General features: G+C 41.6%; 3 protein-coding genes across 9 annotated transcripts in view, besides 3 other annotated features; 2 read left to right on the forward strand and 1 right to left on the reverse strand.

Annotated features, from left to right (window-relative positions):
• SUZ12 (SUZ12 polycomb repressive complex 2 subunit) overlaps positions 1 to 6,125 on the forward strand; it is a 64,032-nt gene extending 57,907 nt beyond the window's left edge. For all 6 annotated transcript variants that reach the window (XM_047435704.1, NM_015355.4, NM_001321207.2 and 3 more), the window contains 3 exons: positions 651 to 849; positions 1,885 to 1,964; positions 3,745 to 6,125. In XM_047435704.1, coding sequence (XP_047291660.1) covers positions 651 to 849; positions 1,885 to 1,964; positions 3,745 to 4,090 — 625 coding nt within the window. In that variant the 3' untranslated portion in view covers positions 4,091 to 6,125. The remainder of the gene's footprint in view (positions 1 to 650; positions 850 to 1,884; positions 1,965 to 3,744) is intronic.
• On the reverse strand, positions 6,731 to 12,794 carry LOC124903972 (uncharacterized). Of its 2 annotated transcripts, XM_047437248.1 has the most exons (4): positions 12,463 to 12,794; positions 11,694 to 11,792; positions 8,195 to 8,412; positions 6,731 to 6,845 (listed from the first exon to the last, which is right to left on the reverse strand). In XM_047437248.1, exons 1-4 carry the CDS (start codon positions 12,792 to 12,794, stop codon positions 6,841 to 6,843), a joined length of 654 nt encoding a protein of 217 aa, XP_047293204.1. In that variant the 3' UTR covers positions 6,731 to 6,840. The 2 variants fall into 2 exon arrangements, with proteins under 2 accessions (XP_047293204.1, XP_047293203.1); XM_047437247.1 differs by lacking the exon at positions 6,731 to 6,845 and having other exon boundaries at positions 8,111 to 8,412.
• Positions 11,471 to 12,393: an enhancer, noted in NCBI's record as "H3K27ac-H3K4me1 hESC enhancer chr17:30333403-30334325 (GRCh37/hg19 assembly coordinates)". NCBI's record gives its function as "activates a minimal SCP1, AML or CMV promoter by ChIP-STARR-seq in naive H9 embryonic stem cells {active_cell/tissue: H9 hESC(naive)}" and the evidence as "EXISTENCE:reporter gene assay evidence [ECO:0000049][PMID:30033119]".
• Positions 12,436 to 12,485: a silencer, noted in NCBI's record as "silent region_8416". NCBI's record gives its function as "represses an Ori minimal core promoter by ATAC-STARR-seq in GM12878 lymphoblastoid cells {active_cell/tissue: GM12878}" and the evidence as "EXISTENCE:reporter gene assay evidence [ECO:0000049][PMID:35858748]".
• The window catches only part of LRRC37B (leucine rich repeat containing 37B), a 46,105-nt gene continuing 44,929 nt past the window's right edge, over positions 12,470 to 13,645 (forward strand). The window contains exon 1 of the mRNA NM_001321350.2: positions 12,470 to 13,219. The gene's annotated coding sequence lies outside the window, so the exon portion shown is untranslated. The remainder of the gene's footprint in view (positions 13,220 to 13,645) is intronic.
• Positions 12,526 to 12,875: a silencer, noted in NCBI's record as "silent region_8417". NCBI's record gives its function as "represses an Ori minimal core promoter by ATAC-STARR-seq in GM12878 lymphoblastoid cells {active_cell/tissue: GM12878}" and the evidence as "EXISTENCE:reporter gene assay evidence [ECO:0000049][PMID:35858748]".

A 13,645-nucleotide genomic window follows, 5' to 3' on the forward strand; every position in this document is an offset into this window, starting at 1 on the left:
TCCTTTGAACTTTATACTTAAGTTTTAATGATGTTAATGTCACTACTGCTGCAGTGGTTTGGGATTAAAGAATTCTGTCAGAAGTTTCTGGATAATTGGTTGAACCTGGGAGGTCGAGGTTGCAGTGAGCCGAGGTTGTGCCATTGCACTCCGGCCTGGGCAACAAGAGCAAAACTTCGTCTCAAATAATAATAATAGTAATAAAAAAATTACAAAGAGGGAATTTTTAATCTTAGTAAAACTGAAAAAATTTTTAAGGCAGGTGTATGCATATGTAACCAGTGTTAACGGCTTTTCTGCTTTGTGAATATACATGAGTTAGAATACACAGTTTTGACATGTAGGATTTTATATGCATATTCCTATCTGAATGTGCCCTAACTAGCACTTCATTTCTTTTTCCTCCTTTTTAACTGTAACTTTTCACACCCAGAAAGACAGTTTGTGTTTGAATTAATATGTAATAGGTTTGATTTACATTATGTACCAAAAGAAAATAACTAGTGGGGGTGTGCCTCTAATACTATTGTTTTATGGTTAGTTTTATAAAAGGGTGATGTTGCAGATTATCACAGATCTCAACTCCTAGTCGTGAGGTTAGATGGTATACATGTAGAGGCCATAAATCAACATTTATTTCTTTTCATTAGGCCAAAACGAACAAAAGCAAGCATGTCTGAATTTCTTGAATCTGAAGATGGGGAAGTAGAACAGCAAAGAACATATAGTAGTGGCCACAATCGTCTGTATTTCCATAGTGATACCTGCTTACCTCTCCGTCCACAAGAAATGGAAGTAGATAGTGAAGATGAAAAGGATCCTGAATGGCTAAGAGAAAAAACCATTACAGTAATTATTATTATCTTTATTGGCAATTATCTTGGAATATTATTTTGTTTTGAAAATTGCTTACTATGAACTAGACTTTTATTGTAAAGGAACTTTTTTTAAAAAAAAAAAAAGGAATCCGGAAATGTACAGGTTTTAAAATTATGTCACTTTAAAAGTTAACCAAGTTAGGCTGGTGGCGGTCGCTCACACCTGTAATCCTAGCACTTTGCGAGGCAGGCGCATTGCCTGAGTTCAGGAGTTCAAGACCAGTCTGGACAGCATGGTGAAACCCGGTCTCTACTAAAAATACAAAAAATTAGCCAGGCATGGTGGCATGCACTTGTAGTCCCAGCTATTCAGTTGGCTGAGGCAGGAGAGTCGCTTAACCCCAGGAGATGGAGGTTGCAGTGAGCCAAGATTGCACCACTGCACTCCAGCCTGGGTGACAGAGGGAGACCCTGTATCAAAACAAACAAAAAAGTTACCAAGTTAAAGGGAATATGGATTTTCTTCAAGTAAATTTGTATTGTGTGTTTTCATTTCTATATTTATAGGTAATCGTAATTTAGGCTTTCCCTTTTTAAATGACGGCAGGTGTGCTGGCTCACACCTGTAATCCCAACACTTTGGTAGGGCGAGTTGGGCTGATCACCTGAGGTCAGGAGTTTGAGACCAGCCTGGCCAACATGGCAAAACCCCATCTCTACTAAAAGAAAATACAAGAGTTAGCTGGGCATGGTAGAGCGTGCTTGTGATCCCAGCTACTCGGGAGGCTGAGACAGGAGAATTGCTTGAACCCGGGAGGTCAAGGTTTCAGTGAACTGAGATCGTGCCACTGTACTTCAGCCTGGGCGATAGAGCAAGACTCTGTCTCTAACTAAATAAATAAATTAAATTAAATGACTACTTAAATAGAAGTTAATTTTAAGAAATGTTGCCACTTTGCTGTATAAATATGTTGTATTTTTAGTTCCAAAACATTCTGTTTTTGACATTCTCACAAGTTTTTCTTAAAATATGTGTTTAATAGGTGTTTTTCTTTCTTTTTCCCAGCAAATTGAAGAGTTTTCTGATGTTAATGAAGGAGAGAAAGAAGTGATGAAACTCTGGAATCTCCATGTCATGAAGCATGGGTAGGGTATTTCTAAATTAATTTAAATATTTTATTATTCTTTATGGTCTTTTGCTGTTTCACATTCTAGAAATCTTACGTGTGTTAGAATCTTATTTAAAATTCCATTAATGTATATTTGTCCCAAATTTTATTCTATTCCAATGTTTTTTGGTTTGGCAGGTTTTTTTTAGGTACAAAGACGTTCCTTTTGGTATTATTTATAACAATGAATTAATATTATATTCATTAGTATTAATAAAATCAAGGCAAAAACCGGGCCTTGCCTTTAGAACTTGTTGCACAGATGTGAGTCATCGCAGCATTATTTATCAGGGTTGTTGATTCTGTCAGCTTTCAAGAGGAAACAGGCTGCTGCAACCCTGGTGTCCGTAGGAAAGGGTGTCATCATCATAGAACCTCCTCAGAAATCACTGGTGCCCATCCTAACTCTCGTAGTAGTGTTTCTCCCATGCTTGCAAACTCTATCAGGGTTGACTCGTTCACACTCAAAACATTTTATAGAGCTGGGTACAGTGGCTCATGCCTGTAATCCCAGTACTTTGGGAGGCCAAGGTGGGTGGATCACTTGAGGTCAGAAGTTAGAGAGCAGCCTGGCCAACATGGTGAAACCCTGTCTCCACTAAACGTACAAAACTTAGCCGGGTGCAGTGTCACACACCTGTAATCCCAGTTACTCGGGAGGCTGAGGCACTATAATCACTTGAAGAACCCGGGAAATGGAAATTGCAGTGAGCCAAGATTGCACCACTGCACTCCAGCCTGGGCAACAGAGTGAGACCCTATCTCCAAAAAAAAAAAAAAAAAAAAAGGCCACCTTGGTGGGACCCACGACCAGGGAGCAGCAGAAGGCAAGACAGAGCTGTAGGTTCATTTAATGACCCAATTTTCATGCCTTTTAGTGCCACGTGTTTCATGTCTGGAAATCCTGAAAATTACCACAGTTATTACCACAATTTTTAACCATTGGTTAATTTTTCAGAATAAAACGTGGCTTTTTGGATTTGTTTACCATTTCATAGAGGTGAAAGGAGAACAATTTTTGTTTCTTATTCCTTTGTGGCTAAAAGTATGTTCCCGGCTTGGTGTGGTGGCTCACACTTACAATGCTGGCACTTTAGGATGCCAAGGCAGGAGGATCACTTGAGTTGAGGAATTCAAGACCAACCTGGGCAACACAGTGAAACCTTGTCTCTACTAAATTTTTTTTTTTTTTTTTTTGAGACGGAGTCTCTCTCTCTCGTCCAGGCTGGAGTGCAGTGGTGTGATCTCGACTCACTGCAAGCTCCACCTCCCAGGTTCACACCATTCTCCTGCCTCAGCCTCCGGAGCCGCTGGGACCACAGGCACCCGCCACCACACCCAGCTGATTTTTTGCATTTTTAGTAGAGACGGGGTTTCACAGTGTTAGCCAGGATGGTCTTGATCTCCTGATCTTGCGATCCACCCACCTCGGCCTCCCAAAGTGCTAGAATTACAGGCGTAATTACCTGGCCCAAATATTTTATGCTTTTAAGACTGCTTATGTAATTGAAGAACAGAAATTATATCTGCTGTTCTAATGGTACCTGTTTAAGCTTAAGTTAGATTAAATCTCTTGAAATTTTTAAAATGGTAAGCTCATTCAGATGATTGAATTTCAGTTTCTCTATAGTTTTACTGCTTCTTTAATCATCTTTTATTTTACTGGAATTGGATATAGTCTTATTATAATGGTTATCACTGTTGCATTTGACAAAAATGCTTTGTATTGCTATTCATATTCTGTTTTTATTAAATAGGTTTATTGCTGACAATCAAATGAATCATGCCTGTATGCTGTTTGTAGAAAATTATGGACAGAAAATAATTAAGAAGAATTTATGTCGAAACTTCATGCTTCATCTAGTCAGCATGCATGACTTTAATCTTATTAGCATAATGTCAATAGATAAAGCTGTTACCAAGCTCCGTGAAATGCAGCAAAAATTAGAAAAGGGGGAATCTGCTTCCCCTGCAAACGAAGAAATAACTGAAGAACAAAATGGGACAGCAAATGGATTTAGTGAAATTAACTCAAAAGAGAAAGCTTTGGAAACAGATAGTGTCTCAGGGGTTTCAAAACAGAGCAAAAAACAAAAACTCTGAAAAGCTCTAACCCCATGTTATGGACAAACACTGAAATTACATTTTAGGGAATTCATCCTCTAAGAATTATGTTTTTGTTTTTAATCATATGTTCCAAACAGGCACTGTTAGATGAAGTAAATGATTTCAACAAGGATATTTGTATCAGGGTTCTACTTCACTTCATTATGCAGCATTACATGTATATCACTTTTATTGATGTCATTAAAACATTCTGTACTTTAAGCATGAAAAGCAATATTTCAAAGTATTTTTAAACTCAACAAATGTCATCAAATATGTTGAATTGATCTAGAAATTATTTCATATATAAATCAGAATTTTTTTGCATTTATGAACGGCTGTTTTTCTACTTTGTAATTGTGAGACATTTTCTTGGGGAGGGAAAATTGGAATGGTTCCCTTTTTTAGAAATTGAAGTGGTCTTCATATGTCAACTACAGAAAAGGAAAAAAATAGAAATTGAAGGATTTTTATGAAATTATATTGCATTACTATTTGCAGTCAAACTTTGATCCTTGTTTTTGAAATCATTTGTCAATTCGGAATGAAAAATTATAATGTAATTTTACATTACATAAGTTCCTTTTACAATTAAAAAATAGCACTTCTTCATCTTATGCCTGTTTGAGAAGATATTAAATTTTCACATTGTTGACAGTGAAATGCTATGTTGGTTTATAAGATTACAGACCATTTGTTTTCATGTGGATAATTTTAGTGCATTGCTCACCCGGTATGTTTTTTTTTTTTAACTTGAACATTTTGCTTGTTTTGTTTTTCTTTTTTAATTAGATAATCACACGGAAAATTAAGCTGTTCATATCTTTAAATTAGGATTGCAAACCAAGGAAAGAACGCATTTGAGATTTTAAGATGTCACTTATAAGGGGAGAAGTGTTCTTAAAAAGTCAACCAGAAAACTGTTATGCCTTTTATTTGTTTGCAAGGATGTCTTTGTAATGTGTTTCATGAATAGAATATCCAATAGAGATAAGCTGACTTGAATCATTTTGAGCAATTTTGCCCTGTGTTATATGTGTTTCACGCACATATTTGCAGTTGGATTTTCTCCAACAGAAAGTGGATTCACTACTGGCACATTAACAAGCACCAATAGGTTTTTATTCCAACTCCGAGCACTGTGGTTGAGTAACATCACCTCAATTTTTTATTATCCTTAAAGATATTGCATTTTCATATTCTTTATTTATAAAGGATCAATGCTGCTGTAAATACAGGTATTTTTAATTTTAAAATTTCATTCCACCACCATCAGATGCAGTTCCCTATTTTGTTTAATGAAGGGATATATAAGCTTTCTAATGGTGTCTTCAGAAATTTATAAAATGTAAATACTGATTTGACTGGTCTTTAAGATGTGTTTAACTGTGAGGCTATTTAACGAATAGTGTGGATGTGATTTGTCATCCAGTATTAAGTTCTTAGTCATTGATTTTTGTGTTTAAAAAAAAATAGGAAAGAGGGAAACTGCAGCTTTCATTACAGATTCCTTGATTGGTAAGCTCTCCAAATGATGAGTTCTAGTAAACTCTGATTTTTGCCTCTGGATAGTAGATCTCGAGCGTTTATCTCGGGCTTTAATTTGCTAAAGCTGTGCACATATGTAAAAAAAAAAAAAAAAAGATTATTTTAGGGGAGATGTAGGTGTAGAATTATTGCTTATGTCATTTCTTAAGCAGTTATGCTCTTAATGCTTAAAAGAAGGCTAGCATTGTTTGCACAAAAAGTTGGTGATTCCCACCCCAAATAGTAATAAAATTACTTCTGTTGAGTAAACTTTTTATGTCATCGTAAAAGCTGAAAAAATCCCTTTGTTTCTATTTATAAAAAAAGTGCTTTTCTATATGTACCCTTGATAACAGATTTTGAAGAAATCCTGTAAGATGATAAAGCATTTGAATGGTACAGTAGATGTAAAAAAAATTCAGTTTAAAAGAACATTTGTTTTTACATTAAATGTTTATTTGAAATCAAATGATTTTGTACATAAAGTTCAATAATATAAAAGCTGTATTCTGTTTTGGGGTTTTTTTGTTATTATGCATTGTTAACATGTACATTAAAATTTTGATTTAGATAGCATAGTAAGATTTCAGCCTCAAATGAGTCAGAGCTAATAAGAAATTAGGAAAATCTTAATGTGAAATCCTGCTTTCAGCAGTTACAACTAATATGTCATTTATGGTATTACATAAATATTTAAAAATTTATAGTTCAGAGTAATGAAGGAGAGAGATTCATTTTTCACAGCATACCTTTTTATACTATTTAAACTTTTAAGGTATATATGTTTTTAAAACCTAAAAAAAAATGAAAAGCAGAGTTGAGTGACAAATAAGGTGACATTGAATTATAACCTAATAAATAACCAGTTATAACCCAATGAGTATAAAATATCCACAAATCTATACTCAGAAATAAATGTCTGAAAAAATAAATGAATAAACAAATCTGTGCAGAAAACTTCCAAATAATTTATGTAGATATTGCCCCTTCAAGAAGGTAGAACATAACTCCCCACCCAGTAAGTGTGGCTGTTTACAGTGACTTACAGTATTGGAGGTTTGAGGAGATGGGGGAGGATGTAGGGAAACCTGACAAACACTGCCTCACCCAGAGGACCAAGGTTAACATCATCAGTGATAAGTCACGACGACGGCATGCACTCTTGATAAGACGAGAACTGCACATCACCTCTGTGGTCTTCCTCCCCAAAATGCAAAAACCTAGGCTAACCATAAGAAAAACCCATAAGGAGGGCTTTCTACAACATACCTAACCAGTACTCCTCCAAACTGTCAAGGCCATCAAAAACAAGGAAAGTCTGAGAAACCGACAGTCTAGAGGAAAACATGATGACTAAATATCATGTGGTATAGGATCATGAGGCAGAAAAAGGACGTCAGGTAAAAACTAAGGAAATCTGAGTAAAGTATGGACTTGAGTTAATAACAGTGTGTCAACACTGGCCCATTAGTTGTAACAAATATCCCACACTAATCTAAGACGTTAATAACGGATAACCAAGTACAGGATATACGGAAACCCTCTACTATCTTTGCAACTTTTATATAAATCTAAAGCTATCCTAAAATTTTAAAGTTTTATTTTTTAAAAGCAAAAAGTTCAAAAAGAATATTTCTTAAAAGCTGGAATGCCAAAAAAGTTTAATAAGATACTTGAATTAAACTAACATTTTGGGGAATATTAGTAATGACCCAAGGCAGAAATAAAACACTAAAATATATAGCATCCCTAATTTATGTGGGAATGAACAAGGTTCTCTTGGGAAAATGAAATACGGAGAACTAAAGTAAAATATACACACAGTCATGCACTGCACAATGTTTCAGTCCACAAGGAACCACATACATGACGGTGATCCCATAAGATTTTATGTAGTACCTTTTTAAATGTTTAGATATGGTTAGATACACAAATACCTACCGTTGTGCTACAGCTGATCACGGGATTCAGTACAGTCACATGATGTGCAGGTTTGCAGCCTAGCAGCAATAGGCTATGCCGTATAACCTAGGTGTGTTGGAAACCCTACCATCTAGGTTTGTGTAAGTGTACTCTATGATGTTCACACAATCGGGACATCGCCAAATGACACATTTTTCAGAATGTATCCCCATCATTAAGCAATGCATGACTGTACTTGAAAATTTTAATCTATTTTTGGCCGGACACGGTGGCTCAAGCCTGTAATCCCAGCACTTTGGGAGGCCAAGGCAGTTGGATCACGAGGTCAGGAGATCGAGACCATCCTGGCTAACACGGTGAAACCTCATCTCTACTAAAAATACAAAAATTTAGCCGGGCATGGTGGCAGTGGGCGCCTGTAGTCCCAGCTTCTCAGGAGGCTGAGGCAGGAGAATGGCGTGAACCTGGGAGGCGGAGGTTGCAGTGAGCCAAGATTGTGCCACTGCGCTCCAGCCTGGGCGACAGAGCGAGACTCCATCTCAAAAAAAAAAAAAAAATTTTTTTTAATCTATTTTCAAATTTTGCAGTGATTTCATACCAACAGTTTAGCTCAGACTTAACAAAAATAAAATGAGAAAATGACCCTCTCACCATTAGCTGTCACCAGAAAGGATTTGTTACTGCCCTGAGCCTTATCGGTCAGGTCTTCAGTTATGTCCATGTGTCGGATTTCTTCATGCATTTCTTCCAGAATTTTGCAGAGTTCTGCTTCCCAATAATCTTTGTCTAGACAGTCAATTAATTCTGCAAGCTGGACCTTTGTGCTGTAGTACCAAATTTTATTTTCATTTTCATTTTCTGTATCTTCTCTGTTTAAAAATGGGGAAATACTTTATATGTTAGACATAATGCCACTTTTCTGACAGTTTCATCTACCCAGTGAAAAGTTAAAGCTTATGCACTAAAACTCAATATATGTGCTCACAAGAGATCCCTGCAGGTCTTACTCAAACTTGATTTACTCTGAGAAAGGACATCTAAAAAACTTGATACAGAGAAAGATGACCTCAAAATTCAGAACCATATGAGAGTACTTTGTGGAAGCCAGTTTCAGCTACATCTCAATCAACTTTAAGATCATCAATGTAACAATATGATGAGCCGAATGTATTTAGAATTATTTTATTTTAATTATTTATTGAGATGGAGTTTTGCTCTTGTCACTCAGGCTGGAGTGCAGTGGCGCGATCTCGGCTCACTGCAACCCCTGGCCTCCCGGGTTCAAGCGATTCTCCTGCCTCAGCCTCCAGAGTAGCTGGGACTACAGGCATGTGCCACCATGCCCAGCTAATTTTTGTATTTTTAGTAGAGATGGATTTGGCCAACATGTTCTTGATCTCCTGACCTTGTGATCTGCCCACCTCGGCCTCCTAAAGTGCTGGGATTATAGGCATGAGCCACTGCACCCAGCCTAGAATTATTTTAGAATAAAATAAATGTATTTTAGAGACAGGGTCTCACTTTGTCACCCAGGCTAGAGTGCAGTGGCACCATCATGGCTCACTGCGTACTCAGACTCCTAGGTTCAAGCAATTCTCCTGCCTCAGCCTCCCAAGTAGCTAGGACTACAGACATGTGCCACCATACCTGGCTAATTTTATAATATAGTTTAGAAATATTTCCATCAAACTGGTGTAAACGCTTTGCTAAGTTCTGGTTCTTGAAGGAGTTATCTCAAATAATATCTCATCCCTTTTCTTCGGGACAATCGAAGCCCAAAATGAAGAGAAGAGCTTCCTCTCCAGCCTAAAACTCTCCTAAGGTTCCATTCACTTTTAATGGATTTAAAGACTTCAACAGAGATGGTCACTAACTTAAAAGAAACAAGGCAAATTAATGTCTAGGACTAGATGTAGAGGAACACACATAATGGTATTTCTGTTCCCACTCAAAAGCAATTCAAGAGTATGTGTGAGGCAATTGATGACAGTGAGTCTGATTTTCCTGTTTCCTCAATGGCAAACTGAGGGAACTGAAAAAACTGGGCTTTTGGAGAGATCTGGCTTTAAATAGGCTAATGTGCTTAGAAGATATGTGGACATGGACAAAACACAACCTCTCTGAGTCTCTAAGACATTTTATTTATCTCACTTGTAAAATGAGGATATAATAAAACCTGCCTGTGTGCCACTATAAGACTTAAAAGTATAATGATGAGGCATCTACCATAGTGCCTGGGCACATTAGTGATCAATAAATGTTAAATATTATTGTTAAGGTAGTAAATGAATAAAAATTCAGCAGCATTACAGGAATGAGTCACTCAGTAATTCTGAAGAAAGAAGGGCTATATTAAATCATAGATAAAAGGATACTGGTGGAGTACCCTTATTCTGAAAATCTGAAATCCAAAATGCTCCAAGGTCCAAAAGTTTTTGAGTGTCAACATGCTGTTCAAAGGAAATGCTCATTAGAGCATTTCAGATTTTCAGATTAGAAATGATCAACTGGTAAGTAGAATGCAAATATTCCAAAAATGCCCAAAACACTTCTGATCCAAAGCATTTTAGGTAAGGATGCTCAACCTATACAGTATTCACTGACTTAACATTTTTCTTCTTGAAGCCACAGAAAGATAAATTCATTAAAGCATAAAGGAGCAAAACAGCAAATACCTGCTAATCCATTCAAAGAAGAGTTGGGTTTTTTTGGTCTATTTTGTTTAACTTTTCTCTTTTTTTTGGTGGGGGGGAGGGGGTGGTGAAGGAGTCTCGCTCTGTTGCCCAGGCTGGAGTGCAGTGGCATGGTCTCCGCTCACCACAACCTCCGCCTTCCAGGTTCAAGCGATTCTCCTGCCTCAGCCTCCTGAGTAGCTAGGACTATGGGCACATGCCACCATGCCCGGCTAATTTTTGTGTTTTAAGTAGAGATGGGGTTTCACTATGTTGGCCAGGCTAACCTCGAACTTCTGGGCTCAAGTGATCCACCCACCTGGCTTCCTAAAGTGCTGGGATTACAGGTCTGAGCCACCACACCTGGCCACCCTCTTCAAACAAAATATGAGCATTTCCATTGGCCTAGGTCTTCACCTTGTCTACTTTATTGACTTACATTACTTACCTAGTCCCTGAAGACATAACACACATTTGCCACCCTTAGAGCTCAACCAAACTGTATTGAATGCATGTATTTGGCAATTAGTGCTTGTATTTTAATTTTCATTTCACATATGTGTTCCATTTTCCTAACTAGATTGAAATAAGCCATCTCCTATTAGGTATTTTTCTTTCTTTTTTAAAAATTTTGAGACAGGGTCTTGCTCTGTCACTCAGGCTGGAGTGCAGAGGTGCAATCATGGCTCAGTGCAACATCCACCTCCCAGGCTCAAGCGATCCTGCCCCCTCACCCTCTGGCGTAGCTGGGACCACAGGTGCGCACCACCATGCCCGGCTAATTTTTCAATTTTTTTCTAGAGACGAGGTCCTGCTATGTTGCCCAGGCTAGTCTCAAACTCTTGACCTCAAGCAATCGTCCGGCTTTGGCTTCTCAAAGGGCTGGGATTGCAGGCATGAGCTATCGCGCCCGGCCAAGTATTTTTGTTTAAATTACTTTTTGGTTGTCACTTATCTCAATAAATATTAACATATGTTTACGAAACCTTTCTTTTTCTTTTTTTTTTTTTTTTTTTTTTTTTTTTTTTGAGACGGAGTCTCGCTCTGTCTCCCAGGCTGGAGTGCAGTGGCGCGATCTCGGTTCACTGCAACCTCCGCCTCCCGGATTTTACGCCATTCTCCTGCCTCAGCCTCCCGAGTAGCTGGGACTACAGGCGTGCACCACCTACGCCCGGCTAATTTTTTTTGTATTTTTAGTAGAGATGGGGTTTCACTGTGCTAGCCAGGATGGTCTCGAACTCCTGACCTTGTGATCCGCCCGCCTCGGCCTCCCAAAGTGCTGGGATTACAGGCGTCAGCCACTGTGCCCGGCAAACCTTTCTCTTATCTGAAGAACTGACCTCAACCACTCAGGGTTGAGTCCCTGTGATAAGGTTTGAGGGTGCCTGAACTGTCACCATGATTCGTCCCCTGGGCTGAGCTCAAACCTAGTGATTTGTCAGGTAAATAAATTAAGGTTATTTCCCGATAATACAGACCTGTAACACCGTGAAGTAGGTTTTAGGCAGGATTCCCTCTTTTCCACTGCAAAGGAGAGGTAAGTTCTTGCTAAGGTGGTCAGGCTCCTAGCTGGGACACTGGGAAGGTGGCGGGAGATTGGAACATGCAGTAGTTGCATTCTGGAGTTTACTGAGGCTTTCCGAGTGGGGATCCCATGCAACAGGTCTTAGGGACCCCCCTCCCTCCAGGCGTGGCAGCCCGGGGTGTGGCTCCTGGCACAGATCCGGAGCAGTTGTCATCGGAGTCAATTCAGGACTCCACTTCCAAGCTTCGGAGTTTCCTAAATTCTGGGGGCTTGTCTCCCTGTACCCCACCCCGACTAATTTTCCTCGGTCGCTGGCGCTGCCCCGTCCCTTAGGTCGCTCGGGCCGCCCCCCTCCGCGACTTTTTTTTTCTTTCTCTCGCTGCCTCTTTCAGCCTCAGTTTCCCTAGAGGGCGGGAGGGGAACGATATTTGGGGGCTCTCCTGCCTTCCTCTCCGAGCCGCGGAAGGGGAGTCGCGGGAAGGAGACCCGGCAGGCTTTGGGCTCCAGCCAGGGGTCCGCGGAGACTGTGGTCTCCGAAGGCCTTAGACGCGGGGCTTGTCAGGAGCTGCGGGCCTCTTTCAGCCGCGCCACCCGCACCCGGAGCGCCGTGCTGCGCCAAGTCCAGGCGCCCCGAGCTCTCCGCCCCCGACTCAATGCTCCCGCGCTCCCCCTAGCGGCCGCCGCGCCACCTCGCCCCCTTCCCAGGCTGGGCGGCGGCGCACCTCACGTGACCGCGCTCCTGTAGAGGGAAGAAACAAGGTGGCGGTTGAAGGCGATCTTGAGTGGGGCCCCAGCAATTCGGTTGAGCCTTCTCCCTCCACTCGCTTCCGCCGGCCGGGCCCCTCCCGCCCAGCCCCTCGGGCCTCCCAACCCGGCCCCGGCGCTCCCCACCGCCGCCACTGCGCCCGGCCCTCCCCGTCAGCTTTCCCTTCTCCCGCCGCCTGGGCTCCAACAAGAGGGGCCGGCGGGGCAGGCCGACCAAGCAGCCCGCGGCTCCCGCTGCGGAGCGCTGCGCCCCGGCCCCGCCGCCGCCGCCGCCCACGTCCGGACCCATCGGGGGCTCCCCTCGCCGATACGCGGTAGTAGCCGGGGCAGGTGGGCAGCCGCCAGGCTGAGGTGGCGCCCAAGACGCGGCTGAGCTCGCCCAGGGTGGGCAGCAGTAGCCGGAGGAAGCCACCGCCGCCGGCCCGCCCCGCGCCGGCACCAGCGCACGGGCCCGGCGGGGGCGCGGGGGCAGCCACCTAGCCCGGACCACCGCAGCCCGGAGGGCTGTCAACAGAGTGGTGTATGATGACTACGAGAGCGAGGAGGAGGAGTAAGAGGAGGGGGGCGGCGATGCCGAGGAGACCCAGGAGTCTGAGGACAACTAGGAGGATGACATGGAGGAGGACGACGATGACTCCGATTATCCGGAGGAGCTGGAAGATGACGACGAGGACGCCAGTTACTCCACGGAAAGCAGCTTCAGCAGCACTCCAGGTACCCACCCAGCGCAGTTGCTGCAGACTCATTCCCCACCTCCTCTCCCCTCCCCCCTTGCTCACTTATGTGCTGTGCATCCCGCTCCGATCTCCCGCCAACCCCGCCGACCCCTAAACTTTAGAGGGGAAATGGGAGGGCACATCAAGTGGCAAAAAACTAGATTTATAAGAGGAAAGAAGCACATTGTTCAAAATGGAGATTGCATTGTTGCAGGCCGCACTCGCTTGCTCCCCGTCCCCCCAACTCCCTTTTTTTCTCCTCAAAATTTGTGCCAGTGCAGTGTCTCCACCGGGCAGGATTGAAACTTTGGCAAACACATATCCATTGCATTCATTTTTCTCCCCTTGTTTTGGTGTGGTTTTCTGGAATGAAAGAAGCCTCTTGTTTTGCAAACCTCTTTGCATTTCTAATGTGTTTCCTTTC

The sequence above is a fragment of the Homo sapiens genome, chromosome 17 (assembly GCF_000001405.40).
Source record: "Homo sapiens chromosome 17, GRCh38.p14 Primary Assembly".
NCBI classification, from domain to species: Eukaryota; Metazoa; Chordata; class Mammalia; order Primates; family Hominidae; genus Homo; species Homo sapiens.